This window comes from Homo sapiens, chromosome 22 (genome assembly GCF_000001405.40).
Source record: "Homo sapiens chromosome 22, GRCh38.p14 Primary Assembly".
Taxonomy (NCBI): domain Eukaryota; kingdom Metazoa; phylum Chordata; class Mammalia; order Primates; family Hominidae; genus Homo; species Homo sapiens.
This window is the reverse complement of record NC_000022.11, coordinates 21,695,283-21,719,591: the sequence shown is the minus strand read 5'-3', so window position 1 is coordinate 21,719,591 and position 24,309 is coordinate 21,695,283. Positions and strand designations below refer to the sequence as shown.

At 49.2% G+C, this 24,309-nt stretch overlaps 2 protein-coding genes across 14 annotated transcripts in view, besides 3 other annotated features; one reads left to right on the top strand and one right to left on the bottom strand.

The window, feature by feature from the left end:
* The window catches only part of YPEL1 (yippee like 1), a 38,259-nt gene extending 16,203 nt beyond the window's left edge, over window positions 1-22,056 (top strand). For 2 of the 4 annotated variants that reach the window (NM_013313.5, XM_047441355.1), the window contains exons 2-5: window positions 8,684-8,964; window positions 15,710-15,753; window positions 16,114-16,222; window positions 18,374-22,056. In NM_013313.5, the coding sequence (NP_037445.1) occupies window positions 8,848-8,964; window positions 15,710-15,753; window positions 16,114-16,222; window positions 18,374-18,463 (360 nt within the window). In that variant the 5' untranslated portion in view covers window positions 8,684-8,847 and the 3' untranslated portion in view covers window positions 18,464-22,056. Of the gene's footprint in view, window positions 1-4,346; window positions 5,427-8,683; window positions 9,106-15,466; window positions 15,754-16,113; window positions 16,223-18,373 lie in introns of those variants that run through there. The other 2 variants (XM_047441356.1, NR_130910.2) reach the window with 2 other exon arrangements.
* Window positions 5,565-5,723: a silencer, noted in NCBI's record as "fragment chr22:22068158-22068316 (GRCh37/hg19 assembly coordinates)". NCBI's record gives its function as "represses an EF-1alpha promoter that drives an FKBP-Casp9 reporter gene in an ReSE screen in K562 erythroleukemia cells {active_cell/tissue: K562}" and the evidence as "EXISTENCE:reporter gene assay evidence [ECO:0000049][PMID:32094911]".
* Window positions 5,932-5,981: an enhancer, noted in NCBI's record as "active region_18704". NCBI's record gives its function as "activates an Ori minimal core promoter by ATAC-STARR-seq in GM12878 lymphoblastoid cells {active_cell/tissue: GM12878}" and the evidence as "EXISTENCE:reporter gene assay evidence [ECO:0000049][PMID:35858748]".
* Window positions 8,350-9,549: an enhancer, noted in NCBI's record as "CDK7 strongly-dependent group 2 enhancer chr22:22064332-22065531 (GRCh37/hg19 assembly coordinates)". NCBI's record gives its function as "activates an origin of replication core promoter dependent on BRD2, BRD4, P300/CBP, MED14 and CDK7 cofactors, with strong dependence on CDK7, by STARR-seq in HCT116 cells {active_cell/tissue: HCT116}" and the evidence as "EXISTENCE:reporter gene assay evidence [ECO:0000049][PMID:35650434]".
* PPIL2 (peptidylprolyl isomerase like 2) overlaps window positions 19,577-24,309 on the bottom strand; it is a 34,004-nt gene continuing 29,271 nt past the window's right edge. For 3 of the 10 annotated variants that reach the window (XM_011530049.3, XM_011530041.4, XM_047441268.1), the window contains 2 exons: window positions 24,096-24,194; window positions 21,685-23,725 (listed from right to left, as the gene is read on the bottom strand). In XM_011530049.3, the coding sequence (XP_011528351.1) occupies window positions 23,440-23,725; window positions 24,096-24,194 (385 nt within the window). In that variant the 3' untranslated portion in view covers window positions 21,685-23,439. Of the gene's footprint in view, window positions 24,199-24,309 lie in introns of all 10 variants that reach the window. The other 7 variants (NM_148175.3, NM_001317996.2, XM_011530046.4 and 4 more) reach the window with 7 other exon arrangements.

Sequence of the window (24,309 nt, the reverse complement as noted above, 5' to 3'; positions counted from 1 at the left end):
TTTTAAAATGATGAACAAAGTGAAGGGCAGTTTCTGTAGCTCTCTACTTGAGTCACTTGGAGCAGGGATTCTGAACGCTAGAGACCTGAATACCCAGTTTGTGAATAAGTTTCCTGTCTCTCTCTTAGCTGCTTCACTTCATATTCTTAGTATCTTTGTTAAAGGGAAGTCCAGGGAAAGAAGAGAGAAATGAAAGTTTATTAATTTAAGTCTCATTTTAGTAACAAGAAACTTAGTTGAAAATATCACAGAGATTGAACATGAGTTCAGTAAGAAGTGAAGTCAGAACGCTTCCTTCCATGAACTGGTGCAACATGCATGGATTTGAATGAGCTACTGACAAGTTGTCACATGACATCCTCGTGCACCGTGTGGGACATGTGGACAGGAGAGCAGAGGTGGAAGTGGTGCTGGGCTCCTGGAGGGTGGTGGCCGAGCTGATACCTGTCCCCATGACCTCCCCAGGGCATGTCAGCAAGTTTCATGGAAGAGATGCCAGATGGAAGAGATGGCAGGGTTCAGATTCATGAAGGGCCCAGTAGTTCAGGGCAATAGATAAGATCTAATAAAATGTACTGTGTTAACGCTAAATGTGAGGTCTTCTTGATTCTAAGAAACCCAAGAGAAAATTTCAGGATTGGCACAAGATGACTTAATAGCAGCTAGTAAGAAAAAGAGTTTAAGGTTTGGGGAAATCACCCATCAGGAATATCCAATATAGGCAGACTTTTTCAGAAATTCTTTAACATAATATTGGAGAAAGAAATGGACTTCATTTAGAAGATGGTGTGTGTGTGTGTGTGTGTGTATTTACACGTGTATACCTTTGTACAGAAATTTCCTCCACAAAATTCCTGCTAGATGAAGTCATCTCTGTTGATAAATGTGATGAACTGTTGATTTTGTTAATGAAATCGGATTCAGCTTGGTTTCTCTTCTCCTGCAGATGTGCTTGGTCCAGCAGTATTCCCCTGGGAACTGTTCTCCAGGCGCTGCAGAGCTCCTCTGTGCTGTCTGTATCCACCTGTGGTCTGTTTCCGGGCTCTCTTTCATGTCACATTGACCTGTTTTTGTATCTTATGCCAGTCTTTTTTCTTTTATTTATTTATTTATATTATTATTTTTTTTTGATGGAGCCTCGCTCTGTTGCCCAGGCTGGAGTGCAGTGGTGCGATCTCAGCTCACTGCAAGCTCCACCTCCTGAGTTCACGCCATTCTCCTGCCTCAGCCTCCCAAGTAGCTGGGACTACAGGTGCCCACCACCACGCCCCACTAATTTTTTTTGTATTTTTAGTAGAGATGGGGTTTCATTGTGTTAGCCAGGATGGTCTCCATCTCCTGACCTCATGATCCACCCGCCTTGGCCTCCCAAAGTGCTGGGATTACAGGCATGAGCCACTGCACCCAGACTCAGACTCTTTGTTGTTGTTGTTGTTGTTTTGTTTTTGTTTTTTTTTTTTTTTGAGACAGAGTCTCACTCATTACCTAGGCTAAGTCCAGTGGCACAATCTCTGCTCATTGCAGCCTCGACCCCTTGGGCTCAAGCAATCCTCCCACTTCAGCCTCCCTAGTAGCTGGGACCACAGACACGTGACGCCACACTTGGCTAATTGAAAAACACTTTTTTTGCGTAGAGACAGGGTCTCACTGTTGCACAGGCTGGTCTCAAACTCCTGGGCTCAAGCAATCCTCCTGCCTTGGCCTCCCAAAGTGCTGGGATGACAAGTGTGAGCCACTATGTCCAGCCTTTGCCCCACTTCTTGAAAGATATTTTCACTGAATGTAAAATCTGAGATATCAGTTATTATCTTTCAGAATCATAATTGTCCCTTTCTCTGCTGCCTTTTGGGCTCTTGTTTTACCTGGGAGCTTGTTCTGTTGAACAGGTCATTTTTCCTTCCTCTGGACACTTTTAAGACTTTTTTCCCCTTTATCTTTGGTGTTTTGCAGTTTCATTATTTGTCTAGCTGTGGCTTTATTTTTATTTATCCTGCTTTAGGACTGTTGGGCTTTTTAAGTCTGTGGATTAGTAGCTTTTCCTTAATTCTGGAGAATCCACAATCATCAATTATTCACAAAGCGCCTCTACCCCATTTTCTTCTTGCCTCAACCTTCTGAAATCCAAATAAATGTCATCTCTCCCTGCTTCACATCTCTTAGTTTAAGACTCATATTTCCACCTTCCTCACTGTTTTTTTGTTTTTTTTTTTTTTTTGAGACGGACTATTGCTCTGTTACCCAAGGCTGGAGTGCAGTGGCGCAATCTCAGCTCACTGCAACCTCCGCCTCCCGGGTTCAAGCAACTCTCCTGCCTCAGCCTCCTGAGTAGCTGAGACTACAGGCAGACACCACCACGCCCGGCTAATTTTTGTATTTTTAGTAGAGACGGGGTTTCACCGTGTTGGCCAGGCTGGTCTCGAACTCCTGACCTTGTGATCCGCCCCCCGCCCCCCCAGCCCCGGCCTCCCAAAGTGCTGGGATTACAGGCGTGAGCCAGCGCGCCCGGCCTCTCGCTCTTCTTTATTCAGCATAATTTATTCTGACGTATCTTCAGTGTAGGTATTCTCTTTTTATTCTCCTATTCCTGTTAAACCCATTGGGCTGAATGCTGTTTATTTCTAGAATGTCTACACCTGTTTTTCTGCAAGGTCATTTTTTTTCTCGTTTGCTGTTGGTTACATATACTCTCAAGCTCATCGGTTCCCTCCGTGAGTACAGGTAAGTGGAGGAGCCTCATGGTCTGCCTCAGGTCTTTGAGATGTTGAGTCTCTGGATCTGGTCCTGCTGCTGGCCTTTTCTGTCCTTGCTCATGGGGCATTGTTTCTGTGAATGTGTGGTTACTTTTGACTGCATTACTCATTGTCCTGGAAAAATGACTTTGTGGGAATTTTTCAGATCTAGGATAAAGATGCTTCCTCCAAACTAGGTTTACGCTTCCTTCTGCCAGGTACCTCAGGGCGCTGTCAGCCTAAAGCCAATTTAAACTAAATCCATCAACTGTGAGCTTTTGGAATCTTCTCACTGGTGTGAATTTGGGCCATAAGTCCTGTGAGGGCTGTCCTATGATCACTGCTCTGTGGGGTGGGGACCAGCCTTAGAGTTCTCATCGGAAGCCCGGGGTGGCTGGATGGGGGCAGATGTTTTCAGGGCAAGAGCGGCTTGGCTCGCCTCTCTGGTTTCTGGTTTCCCCAGATGGTGCCTGGCGGCTCCTCACTGTCTTGTCAGCCCCTGGATGCCTTTAAGAAAACATCCTTTTATTTTGTCAGCATTTTTGGTACTTCTCAGTGGGAGGGCTGGTCCAAGTATTTGGCTTATCATAGTTTTACAAAAAGTTGGTTTCTATGAAATCTTAAGTCACCTCTTTTTTAAAAATGTAACTTTTAGTCTGGGCGCGGTGGCTCACTCCTGTAATCCCAGCACTCTGGGAAGCCGGGGCAGGCAGATCACTTGAGGCCAGGAATTTGAGACCAGCCTGGACAACATGGTGAAACCCCATCTCTACTAAAAATACAAAAATTAGTCAGGTGTAGGGCCAGGCGCAGTGGCTCACGCCTGTAATCCCAGCACTTTGGGAGGCCAAGGCAGGTGGATCAACTCAGGTTGGGAGTTTGAGACCAGCCTGACCAACATGGAGAAACCCCGTCTTTACTAAAAATACAAAATTAGCTGGGTGTGGTGGCGCATGCCTGTAATCCCAGTGCTCGTGAGGCTGAGACAGGAGAATCACTTGAACCCGGGAGGTGGAGGTTGTGGTGAGCCAAGATCGTGCCATTGCACTCCAGCCTGGGCAATAAGAGCGAAACTCTGTCTCAAAAAAAAAAAAAAAAAAAGAAAAGAAAAAGAAAAATTAGGTGTGGTGGCACGTGCCAGTAGTCCCAGCTACTCAGGAGGCTGAGGCAGGAGAATCACTTGAACCCGGGAGGCGGAGGTTGCAGTGAGCGCAGATGGTGCCATCGCACTCCAGCCTGGGCGACAGAGATTCCATCTCAAAAAAATAAAAAAAATAAAAAATCTACCTTTTATGTTTTTTATTTGAACTATACATAGTAAGCAGCGTGGGGTTTTTTTGTTTGTTTGTTTGTTGTTGTTGTTTTTTCTTGAGATGGAGTCTCACTCTGTCTCCAGGCTGGAGTGCAGTGGTGCAATCTCGGCTCACTGCAGCCTCCGCCTCCCGGGTTCAAGTGATTCTCCTGCTTCAGCCTCCCGAGTAGCTGGTACTACAGGCGCACGCCACCACGCCCAGCTAATATTTGTATTTTTAATAGAGACGGGGTTTTCACCATGTTGGCCAGGATGGTCTCGAACTCCTGACCTGGCGATCTGCCCGCCTCAGCCTCCCAAAGTGCTGGGATTACAGATGTGAGCCACCACACCCAGCCTTAATAGTTTTTTTGTCTAGTTACACTTTTTCTTTTAGAGAACTTGAAACCCATTAATGCACATGTACATACATAATCCACACATATATGTATATGTATGTGTGTGTGTGTATATGGCATATCCATTTATCCACATACTATACATACATGCCTTACACTATAGTTTCCTGAAGCTTACATCACAGGCACAGTCATGTCCACATTCCAGTAATGCTTATCATTCCACGACCGATATGGCTTAATGTATGCTTTAGTTTTCAGAATATATCACTTACTCCTACGAATCAGTAAGGAAAGGACCAGCAGCTAATAGAAAATGTGACAAAGATTTGAAAAGGAGGAATCATAAAAGGTGCCCACCTGTATGGTCAGGTTGAAGCAAATTAAAGCCACAATGAGATGCTGCTGCCTTATACCTGCCAGGCAGCAGAAGTGTTAAAATTTGACCATATCAAGTTGGCGGGATAAAGATCAGCAGGGACTCATGTTCGCTGCTGGCAGGATGACCTTGTCACCGGCACTTGGGAGGTGCTGCTGTGTGCACGGGCATCTGCTCCTGGGATTGTTCCAACGAAACACCTGCCTGTGCGGCTCAGGAGAGGTGACAGCGACAGCAGCACCATTTAGTAGCCAGCCTGGGAGCCGATACACATCCACACCCCGTCAGTGGCTGCATGCAGTGTATCTGACGGGACACCAGGTGAAGGGGGCCCAGCTGCACATGGGGACAGAGGCAGACTTGGCTGCACGTCAGCAGAGAAGTCTCACAGCATCGTCGGTGTCAAGTTCAAAACACGGAACACGCAGCAGTGTGGCTCAGGGCCACACACGGGGCACAGCCATCAGGACAAGCAAAGACCAAGAAGCACCAAGTCCAAGTTAGGCAGCATCTCAGGCCGGGGCACCAAGGAAGGGCACAGCAGCGCCGTGGTGACCGGGTCCCAGTACCATCCTGGGTGGCCGCCACCGGCCGTTTGTGTCTTCCGTTCACACGATTACAAACGCTGCGTTCTGCCCACACACATCTTCAGTCCCAGATGTGAGAAGGTGACCCTCTAATGCAGGCGTGCCTGCGCAGGTGGGGGGCAGACGCCGTCCTGGGTGTCATCCCATGGAAGGGCACAGGACAGGCTGCTGCCGGAGCAGAGGTCACATGGGGTGGGGGGCGGTGGGGGGTGCATCTCAGGAGGAGCAGGTGTGAGGACACTGCTGGCGCTTGGCTCTTCTTCCCAGCCCCGTGCTCTCGAATTTGGGGAAACCCTTGCTCTTCTGTTTGGCCTGAAAGAAAATCCGGTGTGCCTGACTCTCTGCAGGCCCCTTGTCACAGGCCAGGCTGGGGTGGTGCCACCAGGAAAACTTGGCGCACGTCCTGTTGCTGATGATGGCAGCATCAGTCATGGACTTAACCTTCTTTTGTTAATGAGACCTTAGAAATGTAAAAATGATACACTCTTCTTTAAAATAATTGTAGTCAGTACACATAACTCTTACCATCTTAACCATTTCTAAGTGTACAGTTCAGTGACATTAAATATATTCACATTTTTGTACAGCCATCGCCACCCTCCAACCTCCAGAATTCTTCATGTTGCAAAACTGAAACACTGCACCCATGAAGCGGGGACTCCCCTGCCCCTGGCAGCTCTTTCTGTCTCTGAGTCCCACTACTCTAAGTACCTCATACAATATTTGTCCTTTGTGACTGGCTTACTTCACTGAGCATAGTGTCCTCAGGGTTCCTCCATGCTGTAGCTGTGACAGGAGCCCCCTCCTGTTAAAGGCTGGATAACATTCCACTGTATGCAGACGCCACATTTTGATCATGAGAATGCCCGTTTGTGGAGGGACACACTGTTGCTTCCCCCTCGTGGCTGTTGTGGATAATGTCGCTGTGAGCATGGGTGTGCAGACATGGCTTTGAGACCCTGTTTTCAGTTCTCGTGGATTTATACCCAGCAGTGGAATTGCTGGAGCCCATGGTAATTCTATATTTCGTTTTTTGAGGAATTACCATACTGTTTCCCATAGTGCCTCCAGCATTTTACATTTTTACCCTCAATGCACAAGGCTCCAATTCCTCCACATCCTCACCAACGCTTATTTTCCGTGTGTGCGCGTTGATAGTAGCCGTCCTAGAGGGTGTGTGGTGGTGTCTCAACGTGGTCCTTGTCTGCCTCCCTCAGGATCAGTGACATGGAGCACCTTTTCACGTGCTTGTGGGCCATCTGTATATCTTCTTCGGAGAAATGTTTATATAAGTCCTTTGTCCATTTTTAATCAGATTGGGGTTGTTTTGTTGAGTTGTAGGAGTTTCTTAAATATATTCTAATAACTATATAGAATATAGATATATAGGTCCTTTGTCCATTTTTTAATCAGATTGTGTTTCTTTTTGCTGAGTTTTTTTTAACATATTCTAACAACTAGAATATATAGAGAATATAGATACATAGGTCCTTTATCCATTTTCCTTTTTTTTTTTTTTTTGAGATGTAGTCTCACTCTGTCGCCCAGGCTGGAGTGCAGTGATATGGTCTCGGCTCACTGCAACCGCTGCCTCCTGGGTTCAAGCAATTCTGCTGCCTCGGCCTCCCAAGTAGCTGGGACTACAAGCACCCGCCACCACGCCCGGCTAATTTTTTGTATTTTTAGTAGAGACGGGGTTTCGCCATGTTGACTAGGGTGGTCTCGATCTCCTGACCTAGTGATCCACCTTCTTCGGCCTCCCATAATGCTGGGATTACAGGCGTGAGCCACCACGCCGGGCCCATACCCGGCCCTTTATCCATTTTTTAACCTGTTTGTTTGATTTGCTGAGTTGTAGTTGTTTTTTTTTTTTTTTTTTACATATTCCAATAACTAGGATATATAGAGAATATGGATATATAGAGAATATGTATAGAGAGAATATAGAATATATGTATTCTAGATATTAACACCTTATCAGGTATATGATTTAAAAATATTTTCCCTCATTCTCTGGGTTGCCTCTGTTGATAGTATCCTTTGAAGCACAAAAGTTTTTATTTATTTATTTAGAGACAGGGTTTCACTCTGTTGCTCAGGCTGGAGTGCAGTTGGACGATCTCAGCTCACTTGAGCCTCAACTTCCCAGGCTCAAGCCATCCTCCCACCTCAGCTATCCCAAGTAGCTGGGACCACAGGCACAGGGACCACACCCAGCTAATTTTGTGTATTTTTAGTTGAGATGAGGTATTGCTTTGTTGCCCAGGCTGGTTTTGAGTTCCTGGGCTCAAGTGGTCCACCCACCTCAGCCTCCCAAAGTGCTGGGACCACAGGCGTGAGCACTGCACCGAGCCAGAAGTTTTGAATTTTTACGAAGTCTAATGTGTCTGTTTTTCTTTTGCTGCCCATGCTTTTGGTATCGTATCCAAGAGATGATTGCCACATCCAATGTCATGAAGCTTTTCCCCTGTGTTTCCTTCTAAGAGTTTTATAGTCTTAGCTCTCACATTTAGGTCTTTTATTTTGAGTTAATTTGTATACGGTGTTAGGTAAGAGTCCAACTTTATATTTTTGCAGGTGGATATCCAGTTGTTGTGACACCATTTGTTGAAAGACTGTCCTTTCCCCATTGAATGGTCTTGACACCCTGTTGAAGATCATGTGACCATACATAAGGGTTTATTTCAGGACTGGAATTTCTTAAAGATTAAATAATACTGGATCCATCACTCACATTCCTCAATGTCCTGGTGCTCTGCGTGGTGAATTCCCGGATTCGGGGTGGGGTGCATCCAGCCCTGCCACCGGGCCCACTCACCGGGCGTCTTGGTTCTGCCTCTCCTTTCATGTTTCCAAAGCCAAACCTGGTATAAGAAGAATTTGAATCAATGTTTTTCTCAAATTATTTGCATGTAAAAGGAGTTCATTTTTTCACTTCCAACTAAATGTAAAGTGGTTAAGCAGTGGCATGGTGTCAGTGTTCATTTTGTCTACAATTGATACTAAAGAGTTGGATCTTGGTCAGGCGCAGTGGTGCTTGTAATCCCAGCACTTTGGGAGGCCAGGCTTGGTGGCGTGTTCCTGTAATCCCAGCTACTCAGAGGCTGAGGTAGAAGAATCGCTTGAACCCAGGAGGAGGAGGTTGCAGCGAGCTGAGATTGCGCCACTGCACTCCAGCCTGGGCAACAGAGTGAGACTCCATCTCAAAAAAAAAAAAAAATTCTAGTCCTGCCACCCCCCCACCCCGCGTGTTGCTTCACAACACATGAATCCCATATGTACCTGCTTCACACGCATGTTCTCTCTGTAACCCACCACTTTGTCTGATTGGTTGGCAGGTTACGTTTTTCTCTCGTCCCAGCTGTGTGGACAGTGCCACACGCCCTCCTGGACAACGACGGCTCTTGCGTGCATTTTCCAGTGTTGCTTTTGTCAGAGAGGCCAGCAGAGCCACGGTTCTTCCAGAACCAGCCCTGAGCTGAGTGAGGAGTGCCCAGGAGAGATGGTGAAAATGACAAAGTCCAAAACTTTCCAAGCGTATCTGCCGAACTGTCACCGAACGTACAGCTGTATCCACTGCAGAGCACACCTGGCCAATCATGACGAGCTCATCTCCAAGGCAAGTGGCTTATGCCAAAAAATTGATGGCACAATGATTATCTGTCATTGTGGTACCTACATAGTGGAAGAATATTTAAGCATCACATGACTTCCTGAGTCTGCTGTGTCCTGAACGTCTAGAGCCTTCTAGGCAGCATTGGTGAGCGTTTTGTGCATGGTTAAGTGTGGCTGTGCCACGATCTCAGATGTGATCCTGGCATGGTGGGCGGTTTTCCAGGGCCAGGCAGCTGGCACTCCCAGGGATTACGAGGGGCAAGGTGAATCACTTGTTACTCACAGCAGAAAGCCAGAGAGGACTGAATGAGCAAAAGAAGTCTAGAAAAATCTGTGGAAATGGTTTAATAATAAGGGTATTAAGACATTTTAAAAACTCAGCATGGTTAAGAAGGAAAGGGGTTGCTCAGAAAAATGCCCCAGAGGGTGTGGCTGCGTTTGTCGGTTGTGTAGGAGCCCTGGGTGAAGCTCTGGCTGGTCTCTGTGCATAGAACCCATGAGCAGCCTTGAAGATGTAAACAAGATCCCCTGGCCCCTCCTTACTGTGCTGAGCTCCTCATTAGCAGTGTGTGGCGTTGATCATCAACCAGTTGTGAACATTTAAACAGGCCAAACATCATGGAGGAGCTGATGCTCAGTCGGAATGACAGTGTTCTCCACCCATCCTCAGGTCATGACATCCCCCCAGCCTCAGGTCATGAACTCCCCGCATCCTCATACGTCATGACCACCGATCCTCAGGTCATGACCTCCCACATCCTCACAGGTCATGACCTCCCCCATGCTCAATTCATGACTTGCACCCATCCTCACGGATCATTACCTCCACTCATCCTTATAGGTCATGACCTCCCCCCATCCTCACAGGCCATGACCTCCCCCCATCCTCAGGTCATGACGTCTCCCCATCTTCACAGGTCACGACCACTTTGGGAACAAAGTTTGTCAGGAAGTTGTGCCTTTCAGAAATCTTTTCTTCTTTTTTTAAATAGGTATTTTATTTACTTTTATTTTTTCTTGTAGAGACAGGGTTTTACCATGTTGCCAAGGCTGGTCTTGTACTCCTGGCCTCAAGCGATCCTCCTGCCTTGGCCTCCCAAAGTGCTGGGATTATAGGTGTGAGTCACCACGCCCAGCCAGGAATCTCTTAGGTTTCCTGTTTAACTCAAGAGAAGAACATTTACCTGCTTGTATTTTCAGTAGGTAATAGTGAGAGGCTCCTCATTTCTGTTCATCATCTGAGATAGAAACTGTTGAACGAGGCAGAGTTTCTGCTCTCTCATTGCCTCTGGGGCTCCTGTGTGCACTGGGAAGTGTGAGGTGAGAAGTGGAAGGAGCCAGGCACCCCATTTCCTCGGTGTTTTCTGAGGTAGGCTTAGTGTGTAAAATGACATGAGGTAATGAGAGGCGGAGCTGCTCTGGGCCCCTGGGTAGGGGCAGTGAAGCTTGTGGCCTTGTGGAGCCCCGTGACACCTGTGTGTTGGCCATGACCTAAGCAGGTGACCTGAGCACTGAGAGGTGGTCAATGTCCGGCCCCATGCATGGTTTTGTTTCGGAAGCATGCCAGGTGTGTTCCTTGCTACATGGTCAAAAGGAATTTGAGATGCTTCTGTTGAACAGCCTGGAGGTCATCAATGAGCTGTTTTAAAAATTGTATCAGCTGGGCGTGGTGGCTCACCCCTGTAATCCCAGCACTTTGGGAGACCGAGGTGGGCGGATCACTTGAGGTCAGGAGTTTGAGACCAGACCAGCCTGACCAACATGGAGAAACCCCGTCTCTACTAAAAAAAATACAAAATTAGCCGGGTGTGGTGGCACATGCCTGTAATCCCAGCTACTTGGGAGGCTGAGGCAGGAGAATCGTTTGAACCTGGGAGGCGGAGGTTGCAGTGAGTCGAGATCGCGCCATTGCACTCCAGCCTGGGCAACAAGAGCGAAACTCTGTCTTAAAAAAAAAAAAAAAAAAAAAAATTGTATCAAGAATAGAAGCCTGGCTGGGCTTGGTGGCTTACACCTGTAATCCCAGAACTTTGGAAGGCCAAGATGGGTGGATCACTTGAGGTCAGGAGTTCAAGACCAGCATGGCCAACATGGTAAAACACTGTCTCTATTAATAAAGTACAAAAAAATTAGCTGGGCATGGTGGCACACACCTGTAATCCCAGCTATTTGGGAGACTGAGACATGAGAATTGCTTCAACCTGGGAGGCAGAGGTTGCAGTGAGCTGAGATCACACCACTGCACTCCAGCCTGGGTGACAGAGTAAGACTCTGTCTCAAAAAAAAAAAAAAAAAAAAAAGGCAGAAGCCTGCTCAGAAGTCATTTGGTGCCAAATGAGCATTTCAGGATGAAAAAAAGTGCTGAGAACTAAGCTCTCTGAGCACACAGGCCACCAGGAAGGATCAGACCTCGTGCCTCCATGGGTGATGGGCCGGGCGAGGTGGCAAGATGACGACTAGAGTGAGCTTTTCTCCCTTCCGTGGTGATTCTGATGAGGATTCATTGAGACCATCGAGAACACCTGCCACGCAGAACAGAATCCAGTACCTGCGAGGCGAGAGGCACTGTCTTCACAGCCTCTAAGTTTGTATTTGTCACTAACAAGGAATCCCCTGGCTCGAGGGAGCCTGTTGCTGCTGTAGGCAGCTCTGGTTACTAGAAGGCTCCATTTAGTTAGCAAACTCTGATCTGTGGTCCAAATCTGCCACACCACCTGTTTATGCAAAGTTTTAATAGATCACAGCTGTGCTCATCTGTTTACAGAGTAATTAGAACAGGGACCATATGTCCTCCAAAGCCTAAACTACTTATCTCCTGGCCCTAATTTACAGGAGGAGTTTGCTGGCGCCAACTCTGATAAGACAGCTCTGAATCTGAATCACAGAGCTGCTCTTGTCTCTGAGCCAAACCCTATTTAAAAATAAGGACTTTCAGAGTAGGTGAGAATTAGGAAATTCAGTCCAGAATATTGAAGACTGATGAGGATGTGGGAAAAGTCTATAAGATGATTATTAGTTAAACTGAACATAGAATAATATTCCTAATCCCAGAATGCCACTTAAGGGAATACTCATTTTTAAGCCTGAATGCTGAGGAAAAAGAGCCTCCCCAGATCTCAACAGCTTAAAACACAGGTTTAGTTCATGCTCAGGTGAGAAGTCTACCAGGGACAACTGGGGGCTCTTGTTTTTTGTTGTTGCTGTTGTTGTTGTTTGAGATGGAGCCTTGCTTTGTCGCCCAGGCTAGAGTGCAGTGGTGCCATCTCCACTCACTGCAACCTCTGTCTCCCGGGTTCAAGCAAGTCTTCTGTCTCAGCCTTCTGAGTAGCTGGGACTACAGGTGTGCGCCACCACACCAGGCTAATTTTTTGTATTTTTAGTAGAGGGGGTTTCACCATGTTGTCCAGGCTGGTCTCGAACTCCTGGCCTCAAGTGATCCTCCCACTTTGGCCTCCGAAAGTGCTGGGATTATAGGCATGAGGCACTGTGCCAGGTCCTTTTAATTTTTTTTAAATTATATAATATTGCACATAATCACATTAAAATAATGTGTATGTGTAAACGAGGAGACTTGCTTCTTCCTCCTGCCTTGTCCGGCTCCATTCCTTGGAGATGTCACTGTTAGTAGTTTGGCATCTGTTGTCTTTATTTTGTTTTAATAGAAACACATTTTTCACTTTAAATAAAGGGCTCAAATGACACTCACTTTACAGCTAACTTTTCCTCACTTAGTATTTTATGACTTTTATGACTATTTTTATTTTTATTTATTTATTTATTTATTTTTAGACAGGGCTTCTCCTGTCACCCAGGCTGGAGTACAATGGCATAATCTCAGCTCACTGCAACCTCCACCTCTCGTGCTCAAGCGATTCTCCTGCCTCAGCCTCCCAAGTAGCTGGGAGTACAGGCTCACAGCCACCATGCCCTGCTAATTTTTATATTTTTTGTAGGGACAGGGTTTTGCCATGTTGCCTAGCCTGGTCTTGAACTCCTGACCTCAGGTGATCCACCCACCCTGGCCTCTCAAAGTGCTGGGATTACAGCCATGGTGCCTAGCCTATGACTGTTTTTCCATATCTGCTCCTACCTTCCCATCCCCTGCATGAGGCCCATATGCGGATGCAGTTGCTTACTCACTTATGGATGAGTACCTGACTTCCAGGTTAAATTTTTTTTTCTTTTTTTTTTTTTTGTGAGACGGAGCCTGACTCGGTAGCCCAGTCTGGAGTGCAGTGGCGCGATCTCGGCTCACTGCAACCTCTGCCTCCCGGGTCCCGGTTCAAGCAATTCTCCTGCCTCAGCCTCCTGAGTAGCTGGGATTATAGGCACGCACCACCATGCCCAGCTAATTTTTGTATTTTTAGTAGGGACGGGGTTTCACCATGTTGGCCAGGCTGGTCTTGAACTCCTGAACTTGTGATCTGCCTGCCTCAGCCTTGCAAAGTACTGGGATTACAGGCATGAACCACCGCGCCCAGCCTTTCTTAAAATTTTTTTTGAGGCAGAGTTTCACTCTAGTCGCCCAAGCTGGAGTGCAATGGCGCGATCTTGGCTCACTGCAACCTCCCCCTCCCAGGTTCAAGCAATTCTCCTGCCTCAGCTTCCTGAGTAGCTGGGAATACAGGCACCCTCCACCATGCCCAGCTAATTTTTATATTTTTATCAGAGACGGGATTTCTCCATGTTGGCCAGGCTTGTCTTAAAATCCTGACCTCAGGTGATCCACCCACCTCGGCCCCCCAAAGTGCTGGGATTACATGCGTGAGCCACCGCGCCTGGCCTATTTATGTTTTTTAGAGGCAGGTTCTTGCTCTGTCCCCCAGGCTGGAGTGCAGTGGTGTAATCATGGCTCTCGAACTCCTGAGCTCAAGCAATCCTCCTGCCTCAGCCCGTTTTTGTTGTTGTTGTTGTTTGTTTTCCTAATTATGAACACTGTAACCTGTGACCATTCCTGTCACATTTCCTTATACACTCAAGCTGGTTTGTTGTTTACAGTAAATTCTTAGAAGTGGGACTGCTGGGTCCTATAGTGTGTGCTTTTTCCACTTCGATATTGTCAAATCGTGTTTCAGTCACATTCCTCATAGCCTTTTGCCTTTGTTAGGTCAAAAACCCCAAAAAAGGGCTGGGCATGGTGGTTCATGCCTGCCAATACAAAACCATCTTTGTTTTATACAGAAATGTTGCTTTCCTGTTTTCTTTCCAATGAAATTTAGATATGAAAATCTGACAGCGTACATCATGTATGACATATGCGGTTTCCTTTGTGGGAGTGGTATTGAGCGAGCATCTCTTACCAGCTCACCTAAGACATTTTTAAATGACAGCCTCCATTATAAACTGTAATGTAAGCCAGGCGCAGTGGCTCACGCCTGCAATCCCGTCACTTGGGGAGGCCGAAGCAGGCAGATTACTTCAGTCCAGGAGTTCGAAACCAGCCTGGCCAACATGGCGAAACCCTATCTCTAAAATATCCTATCTCTAAAAATACAAAAATTAGCTGGGCCTAGTGGCACGTGCCTGTAGTCCTAGCTACTGGAGAGGCTGAGGCAGGAGAATTGCTTGAACCCTGGAGGCAGAGGCTGCAGTGAGTCCAGATGGTGCCACTGCACTCCAGCCTGAGTGACAAAGTGACACTCCATCTCAAAACCCCAACTCCCCCCAAAATTTTTGATTTGGTTTGCATTTCTTTGATTATGTTTGAGGTCGATTGAGACTTGAGGCTGGCACTGGAGCAGGCGTTCCCACCTGTCCCGTGAGGGCAAAGGTCGTGGGGAGTGACCAAGTGCATCAGGGGGTGCAGATGCCCTATTCTGGCTCTTTCACGCTCAGCCATCTTAGCATACGTGAATATACCATGAGCTGTTTCTCAGCTTGTTTTATTTTCCTGGTGAGATAGATGTCACTGGAATGGCCTTTCTCCAAGTGAAAGGCCATCTTGTGCTATGACTTTTTTTTTTTTTTTTTTTTCGAGACGGGGTTTCACTCTTGTTGCCCAGGCTGGAGTGCAGTGGCGCAATCTTGGCTCACTGTAGCCTCCACCTCCCGGGTTTAAGTGATTCTCCTATTTTAGCCACCCAAGTAGCTGGGGTTACTGGTGCCCGCCACCACGCCCAGCTAACTTTTGTATTTTTAGTAGAGACAGGGTTTCACCATGTTGGCCAGGCTGGTCTCAAACTCCTGACCTCAGGTGATCTGCCCACCTCAGCCTTCCAAAGCGCTGGGATTACAGGCGTGAGCCGCCATACTCAGCCATGCTGTGACTTTTAAAACATTTCAGTGGGAAAATATGGACACCTCCCCCTACCCCCTAATATCTGGCAGCGTGAGCACATCTGAACTGCTGCAGAAGAGGCGGCGAGGAGAGCATTTTGAGGATCTGTGGGTTTTCGGGTAGAGAAAATCATTCGTGATCCCCTCTCAGAACTCCTCTAAGGTAAAGTTGTCCAGACATATGAAGCTCACCATTTAAAAACTGATCTTGCCATGATTCCCAATAATAGTCACTTGCAGAATGTTGACGCAGCAGAATCAGCCACTCCTGTCTACAATGAAAAACAGCTTGCAGCTCCGTTAAGTGGCTGTTATTAGAAGTGGAGTTCTGGAGGGGGGACGCCGGTGTCTGCTCCCGGTGACGCGTCCCGGCGCAGCTAACAGCCGCGGGGCTGGACTCCCCTGGTTCTGGGCAGCACCGCTTCGTTCCAGAAAGCACTCGCAGCCAATCTCACGGGACCTTCTTCTTTCAGTCCTTTCAGGGGAGCCAGGGACGCGCCTACCTCTTCAATTCCGTGTGAGTACCCTGGTTCAGCCCGGGGGGAGCGGCACGGGCCCTGGGACGGCCTGGATGGCACCTACACAGTGCCCTGTGTAGAATCACCTGGGTCTTTAGGGGTCCTGAAAGAACCCACCATCCCCCCGCCGGGAGTTTCTGAAACGCGCTAAGGATCTTGCCCCCTAGCCTGTCCCATCACTGATCTTTCCCATTGATGGTGGTGGCGGGCAGGGCTGGGGGAGAGGCACGGCACTGCTCTCTGGGAGTTTCCCTGTTTTGGGGGAACTCTTAGGAGGATGGGGTGGGGCCCGCTGAGGGGGCAGGGCCTGGTCAGGGGCGGGCCGGGCCTGCAGCGCAGTGGCCCCTCTGTCCCCGCAGGGTGAACGTGGGCTGCGGCCCTGCAGAGGAGAGGGTCCTTCTCACCGGGCTGCATGCGGTTGCCGACATCTACTGCGAGAACTGCAAGACCACGCTCGGGTGGAAATACGTGAGTGCCACAAGGGGATGCTCGTGCCACAAGGGGATGTGGCACTAAGTTGCCACTGAGCCACACCTCCCCGTGCAGTGTGGCCCATGGTACCAGTCACAGCACTTTCAGAAACCCCAGTTCCTCAGCCGAGGTGGGAAGTCCAGACTCCAGTGAGGCATGGTCTCACCACTGCCCTCCAGCCTGGGTGACAGTGATACCCCAACCCAAAACAAAAAACAAAAACACCATGTTTTCAAGCCCTGTTTCTTCCTAAGCCAGGCTCTCTGCACCCAGCCCGCCCTCGGCCCGCTGAGCAGAGCCTGGTGTGGGAGGAGGCCGAGGAGGCTGCAGGGGGCTGCGGGAGGCTGTGCCCACTGTCAGGGACAAGTCTAGAAGACCTCAGCGCCAGACCTGCTGGAGTCAGAGACAGAGAGCTGCCCCATGAGCTCTTTACCCCAAATCCCTCTTTCTCAGGGACCTTGAATTGAAGGTTGCAATCGCCACCTCCTCTCCAGCCTTCACCTCTAGCTCCCTTCTCTCTCCACCACATGGCTGATCTGGCCTCCTCAGGCCCTGCACCTTCCTGCCCCGCTTCCCTCCTCTACGCTGCCCTGAAGTCTCTCTTCCAGGCTCCACTCTCTCTGACCTTCGTGGCCGAGTCCTCCCCTCCCCCAGGCCACCTGAGATTCCATGGTTTTGACCCCCTGGCCATCTGCCTTCTGTTGGATGCTCCCATGCCTTCCCCAGTTGTTGTTGTTGTTGTTTTGTTTGTTTTTTGAGATGGTCTCAAACTCCTGACCTCAAGTGATCCACCCACCTCAGCCTCCCAAAGTGCTGGGATTACAGGCGTGAGCCACCGCGCCCGGCCTGCCTGCCTTTGTTGAAGGAGGCTTTCCCATTCTGGCTCTGGTGTTCTTCGGGTCCAGGCCACCTGCTCTGCCTCTTTCCTGAATTCCTGATCATCTCTGGTCTCCCAGATTCCTCATGAGTTTTGGAAGGCCACAGTTCACACCATGGAAACGGGCTCCACAAGACTAGCACGCATCCCTAGCCCTTCCCCTGGTCAGTCAGCCCCATACCCATCTGTGGGCCCCACTTCCAGAAACCCGTGCCTTCCCTGCATGGCCACCACACTGCATTCCCCTCTATGGCTGCACCCGCTTCCTGCTGGCACAGTCCTTCCTGTGTCTGCCACACCTGGGGCTGCCGCTTGGGTAGGCAGGATCCATCTTGGTCATCTGTGTCCCTAGCACCAGGCCACACACTCAGCAAAACAAAATGATGAGGATGTGTCTGTGGGAGAGATGTTAACTCCTCCCCATGAAGGACCTTCTCCAGATATCCTGTTTTTTGTTGTTGTTTTTTGAGACAGGGTCTTGGTCGATCTCAGCTCATTGCAGCTTTGACCTTCTGGGCTGAAGCAGTCCTCCCACCTCAACCTCCCAAGTACCTGGGACTACAGGCACACCACACCCAGCTAAGTTTTTGATTTTTGTAGAAGAAAATCACTGTGTTGCGTAGGCTTGTCTCAAACTCCTGGACTCAAGTCATCCTCCTTCCTTGGCCTCCCAAAGTGCTGGAATGACAGGTGTGCACCACTGCGCCCAGCCTCCAGATGTCTTTGACCTGTTTATGTCACTCTCCCTGTATTTGCCTTCACGCTAGTTATGCACGGAATTCCTGGAGTGTAGTCTTTTGCATCTCTTCAAGCCTCTTAAATTGTCCCACATGTAGTAAATGTTCAGTAAACAGATCTGCATTCACACTGTCCTACAAGTAATCCCAGCACTTTGGGAGCCTGAGGTGGAAGGATCACTTGAGTCCTGGAGGTCAAGGCTGCAGTGAGCTATGACCAGACCATTGCATTCCAGCCTGAGTGACAGAGTGAGACCTTATCTCAAAACAAACAAACAAATGAAAAACCTTTTAGTATATGCGCTGCCGAAGCGAGCACATGAAAAACCTTTAACAACAAATGCAAAGTAAACCTACACTGCCTCAATGGACTCACCTGGAACAGACCCTCCCAGCGCCGGATGAGTGCACCGCTCAGGGAACATCTGGGTATATAGTTCATAGTATAGACTTGGGGGGGGTTTTTGCCAAAAGAGTGATGAAATTGAAAAGTGAAACCTTCTGTCCTGAAACCTTTGTCTCTTCTTTTTCAAGGAGCATGCCTTTGAGAGCAGTCAGAAATATAAGGAAGGAAAATTCATCATTGAGCTTGCTCATATGATCAAAGACAATGGCTGGGAGTAATGTGCGAACTTTCCCTTCTCCTTTGAATGCTGTTTTGTGAAAGAAACTGTGAATGTAATGGAAACGTAGGAGCATCTGGTGACAGCCTTTCTTGCCCTCTGACCTCAAAGGCTAGCTGCGCATAGCTCTTGACACTCTCGGCCATCTCTGTGGGTAAGGTGTCCCTCGGATCTGTCCTCTTCGTGTACACAGTTGTTTCTGAAAATTTTCAATGAGCTTTTTCTAACTTCTCAAGTTCTAGAGAAAGAATTAACCAACTGATGACTTACCTGCCTAGTTAATATCTTCCTTTCACCTTTGTCTTCAATATAGTTGGGCTCTGCTTTTTTAAGGTTCAGTTGAAAACCAAACTGGGGCCGGGTGCGGTGGCTCACGCCTGTAATCCCAGCACTTTGGGAGGCCAAGATGGGTGGATCACCTGAGGTCAGGAGTTCTAGATCAGCCTGGCCAACATGGTGAAACCCCATCTCTACTAAAAATACGAAAATTAGCCGGGCATGGTGGCGAGTGCCTGTAATCTTAGCTACTCAGGAGGCTAAGGCAGGAGAATCACTTGAACCTGGGACACGGAGGTTGCAGTGAGCTAAGATCATGCCATCGCACTCCAGCCTGGGGGACAAAAGTGAGACATCGTCTCAAAAAAAAAAAAAAAAGCTGGGTATGGTGGCGCATGCCTTTAATCCCAGCTACTCGGGAGGCTGAGGCACGAGAATCACTTGAACCCAGGAGGCGGAGGTTGCAGTGAGCCAAGATCGCGCCACTGCACTCCAGCCTGGCAATAGGGCGAGACTCCGTCTCAATTTAAAACAAGAGAGAACCAGACTGAGTCTCTGAAGACCACAGGGACAGGGTCTCTTTAGATAGCAAGTCTCACCATTCCCTTTTTTAGAGAAAAGGTATTGTAGCCCACCCTCCACCCCGCTGTTTTTCTTAAATTTGCAGAACTTCAAATTGGCTATTCCTCTTGCAAATGAACCCTTAAAGTACAGTGTTATTTAAGAATCTTCCAGAGGCAGTCAACAGACTTATACACTAAGGGCATTTTTGGTTTTTAGCTTGTTCAAAAACAGAGGCCAGCACAGATGACATTTTAGATACACTCTAAATTGAGAATGGTGTCTAGTGGAACATGTTTATTTAAGCCAGTAGATTCCTTATCTAGAAAGCAGGTGAGCTAGCCCTTAGAGAAGGCTGTCCCGGGGCCCGCAGAGGTGCCCTTACTGAGGTGACAGCCTCACAGGGTCTGGTACCAGGGGTTGTGCCCTCAGCAGTGACAGCAGCTTAGGTGTCAGGCAGTTGCTGAGTGGCTGGTCCATGTCTATAGAGTAACACACTGGACCGAGGAAAAGTCAGATTTCATTTTCTACCCTGGATGTACTTGAAGAAAAAGAATTATTTTTGCATATGAAAGAGGCCAGAACCCACAGGAAAAACTTCAAAACTTGACATTTGCCAGAATGTTTAAAATTTGTTCAGAAAAGGTTAAAGCAACAAGTTTAGCCTTTGTGCATGAAGACGCCTGGCCTGCTAGACGCGTTGCCCGTCCCTGCGTGGTGCTGTCCCATGTCACTTGAACTGATAGAGGGGCCTGTGCAATCTCCTAAGGCCTGTGTTTCTGCCATATATTTTATTATAAATTACAATCCACTCATCCACCTGCCCTCCACCAGGAGTGGGCACCCCATAAGGGTTTAGGCCACTTTGCAGAGGATGGAGGTCAAAAACCACTCCCAGATAAGTTTGGTTTTCAACATTTAGTAACTTGTCTCAGGGCAGAGGGCAGGCAGGGGGACCGAGGGGCAGCAGATAGGAGAGCACTGAGCCCGGATAGTTCTCAGCCTGGCAAGTGGCTCTGAAGCTGCCTTCAGACAAGGCTAGTCTAGGGGCAAGAGTGCGAGCTGGCTGACAATAAGAACGTGGCCACCTGCCCAGCTTCACACCTCCCCCGACTTCAGCCCTTCCTAAACCCAGACCTGCGGTCCAGGCAGGCACTGGGCTGTGCCCACTCGAGCTCACTGCCCACACACAGCATGCCTTTGGGTGCCATCTCTTTGCCCAAGCCTGGAAGCCTTGGCAGGTGGGAAATGCCGCTGCCCTGGTGGGCATGGCACTGAGATGCATCCACTCAGCAGGAGTGACAGAGGCAGAAGTTCCTTTAAAGCACATCTTCCACTTAGGAAAGGAAGGAAATCTTTGTACTGTCTTGGAAGCCTCCACATCCGGCTATGGCCCTGCAAGCTGCTTTATCCCTGCGCTAGTCTCCCCCGAGGGTTTAGGCTGGCCCAGCACATCCTGTCCTCCTGAGCTCGCGTGCAGCCACCCAGAGCGCAGGGGTCACTGCACGCTGCAGGGCTCTTGCTGCCATGGTCTCAAGCCTGAAGAGGCTCCGCCCACAAGCTGGCCCATGAAGTTAGCAATGCCTGTGGCTTCAGTCAATTGTCTTGAGACTGTGAAGAGGCTGAAAGACACCTTCCCGGGTGGAAGAAGGAGTTCACTGAAAACTTATCTTAAACTGACCCTTCCCTTTGAGTGAGTCTTCATTCCTCTCCCATGTGGGAACCCAGCCTCCGATGCCCCGGGGACTAGGGGAAACAGTTGGAGGTTCGTGCCGTCCCCAGCCTGCCACGGGTGCGAGGACAGCCAAGTCCTGAGTGACTCAAGATGCTTCACTTACATGGAAGAAACTTCTAAAACTCTACCGAGTGGTTTTTGTATATACTAAAGTTCTATTTAGAGCTTTTCTGTTTTGGGCAAGTTCGCTGCTCCTTCTATTTGGGCACTTTGGTTTTTGTACTGTCTTTTGTGACGGCATTGATTGAACATTTTTTACTAGTAGTCTTATGACTTTTGTATTTTTTTTTTTTTTTGTAATTTATACCAACAACACTTTTATCACTTTTTTTTTGTTGGGCTTCTGCAAAATACAAGCTCATTTTTAAACCAAATGAACAGACCATGAGCTGGCTTCAGGGGAAGTGCTATTCACAGGACCATATCCACCACCCTCTTAAATTCCTAAACAATATCATCTAGGACTTCTATTTAAGTTATTTAAAATAAATCTTCCTTGAGAGCCTTGGGAGGTGATGTCAGGGTTATAAATGGCACAGTGCATTTGCTGTAGGAATGTGGTTTGGCATTGTTTTATACACACAGTATTTTTTATACCTTAATGCTTATTCTTGATGGCATCTGTCAGATATTAGAATTGAAAATAAGAATCTTCCCAAAATCCTTTAATTTACCTGATGCCCTCATCAGGTCGTTAAAAATTCAAATGGTTTTAATAGCTAAAAAACTACAAATTAAGCTCTAAAACAAACAAACTACAGAAATGTAAACCTTCATTTGCCAAAGGTCCTTGGTGGCCTGTCCCCTGCCCTGGGAGCAGATGGCCCTGAAGCCCTTCCCTCACTGTGCAGGCCACCGGGTGAGGCTGGACGGTCACCCATGGTGGCTTCACTGCAAGGAGCAGGACTGCCGAGCTCAAGCACGGGGCCTTCAGCTTCCCCTGTCCTCTGGCCACACCGCCAGCCCTTGGTCCTTATCTGTGTGAGGTTTACAAATAAAGCTTCTGATGTCAAATGTTTAAATCGTGCCCTCAGTGGACGAGGCCATGTCCTGATGCAGAAGGCTGAGCCCAGGCTCTCTGTGGCGCCGCTGAGAGCAGAGGGCTGTCTTGGGGTCTTCGAGCTCTGGAGCCAAGGATGGCCTGGTCCTACTTCTCTGCCCCCACCAATGGGGGACTTGAATGTGGCCAGAGAATACAGTCAGTCAGGGCCAGCCAGGGTGTCTGTCAGGGTGGGCACAGGGTCCTCTCCAAACCTGCTTCTCCCTCCCTGGTCAGGCCTTCATCCCCACCACCCGCACCTGTACCCTGGACGCTGGCTCAGAGGCCTACAGGTGTGTGGACACCTGGGCAGTCACTGTGTCCTACTGTGCCCCTCCTCTGCAGGCCCAGCTTGGTGTCTGAGCCTCTTACAAGCCAGTTACTGCCAGGGCTGCACCAGGCCTTGCGGAGGACAGTGCCTGGCGGGAGGGATGGAGGGCGTCAAAAGTCACTCTAGAGCCCAGGGGCCCGACCAATGGTCACAGACAGGGATGACAGGCTGCAGAGGGATGGGCTGGAGAAGAGAAGGAGCCAGCCATGGCGCAGTTCTTGTTCTTAGCATGATGAAGGGCCACAGATTGGTGTGCAGCAGGGTGACGAGGGGCAGACATACCTCTAGTGGTCATCAGGCAGCCTGTGGCAGTGGATGGGGTGAGGCAGAGATGCAGATGAGGCGCCACCCAGCATCCAGGGAGACAAAGGGCTCAGGCCTGCAGCTTCAGCATCAGTGATTGATGAGAAAAGGAAGGGCAGAGGTACAGCCTGCAAGTTGCTGACAGGTTCAAGATTTGGGGCAACAAAAATGAGAAAACCAAGAACAAGGCCTAAGTTAGGGCTTAGTGTGAAGAACTAGAAGTGGGGGGTGGCCTGAGGGCAACAGGGAGCCCAAGAGGCAAGTGTCAGGCAAGGAGAGTCCATGACATGAGAACACTGACCACTGGCCTGGGCTGAAGACGAAGAAAAAGCCAGCCAGGGGCACATTTAACAGAAAAATGGGGGTTGAGGGAGGGGTCTTTCTTTAAGGGCTGCTGATGCAGCTGGCCCAAGGCCATCAGAGTCAGTGACTGACAGGAGGAGCAGAGTCTTGGAGCCCAGTGGCCGGGCCTGAGAGCAGCAAGGCCACTTCAGCAGGAGGGCGGGGAGAGGGACATCCACTTGTTCTCACAGCAGGAGACACTGGCCTCAACCCAGTGTGGGTCCCCTCAAGATTCTCACAGGGGCACAGAGACGCCAGGCAGGCTTGAGATGAAGCCCAGGTGGTTCACAGCCAGAGCAGGTGAGCAGGGCCCTGAGAGCTCAGGCAGGGCACGGCAGGAAACTCAATGCTGCCGTCCAACACCAGCCTTCAGAAGCCCCTGAAGTTTTGTCAAAACAGACCGAGAAGCCCACCCTGCAGAGGCTTAGGCTCAGTAAGTCTGGGGTCTGAAAACTTGTCCCAGGTAATGGCGTTGGTCAGGGGACCACACTGGTTGTATAAATAGGCTGTCCCTGAGAAGATGACAGAAGTAGGGGTAAGAAAACCAGACATATACAGCTGGATGTAGTGGTGCACGGCTGTAGTCCCAGCTACTTGCGAGGCTGAGGCAGGAGGATTGCTTGAGCCCAGGAGGTCGAGGCTGCAGTGAGCCATGATCACACCACTGCACTGGAGCCTGGGCAACAGAGCAAGACCCTGTCTTAAAGAGGAAACCACAATCTGGAGACACAGTCCTTCCTCACTAACCTGGCCTGCCTACTAGAGGGGAGGCCTGAGGCACCAGCCTGGGTGTAGGGCAGGCCTTGTGCTTGAAGGTCCCAGCAGTGGGCTCTGGCTGGGCCAGGTCCTGGAAACAGGGCCAAGGCCCTTGGCAACAGGTTAAGGGATGGGAAGGCTGTGGGCTCCCAGGGGCCAGGAAAGGGGATGCAGGCAGCAGGCAAGCAATTTATTGGCTGGCAGCAGAGGGCAGGCTAGAAAGGCTGGAAATGGAGATGTGGACATGGGCCCCCAGCCCTGCAACCCCACCAAGGTCCACAGCGGCCAACCTGCTGCTACCAGGAGCTGAAGTCCCCAAAACCCCGACTGGGCTTCTTCTTGGACATGGGGACAGTGGCACTGGTTGAGGGCTCTTCCTCTGCTGCTCGCTTCCTGGGAAGAGAAGAAGCCGCTGGGAGCCCACACCCTCCCTCAGCCCCTCCTGACTTGTCTGTGTCTCCATACAGCCCTCCCGGTGTAGGCCCAACCCCTCCCACCTGCTGC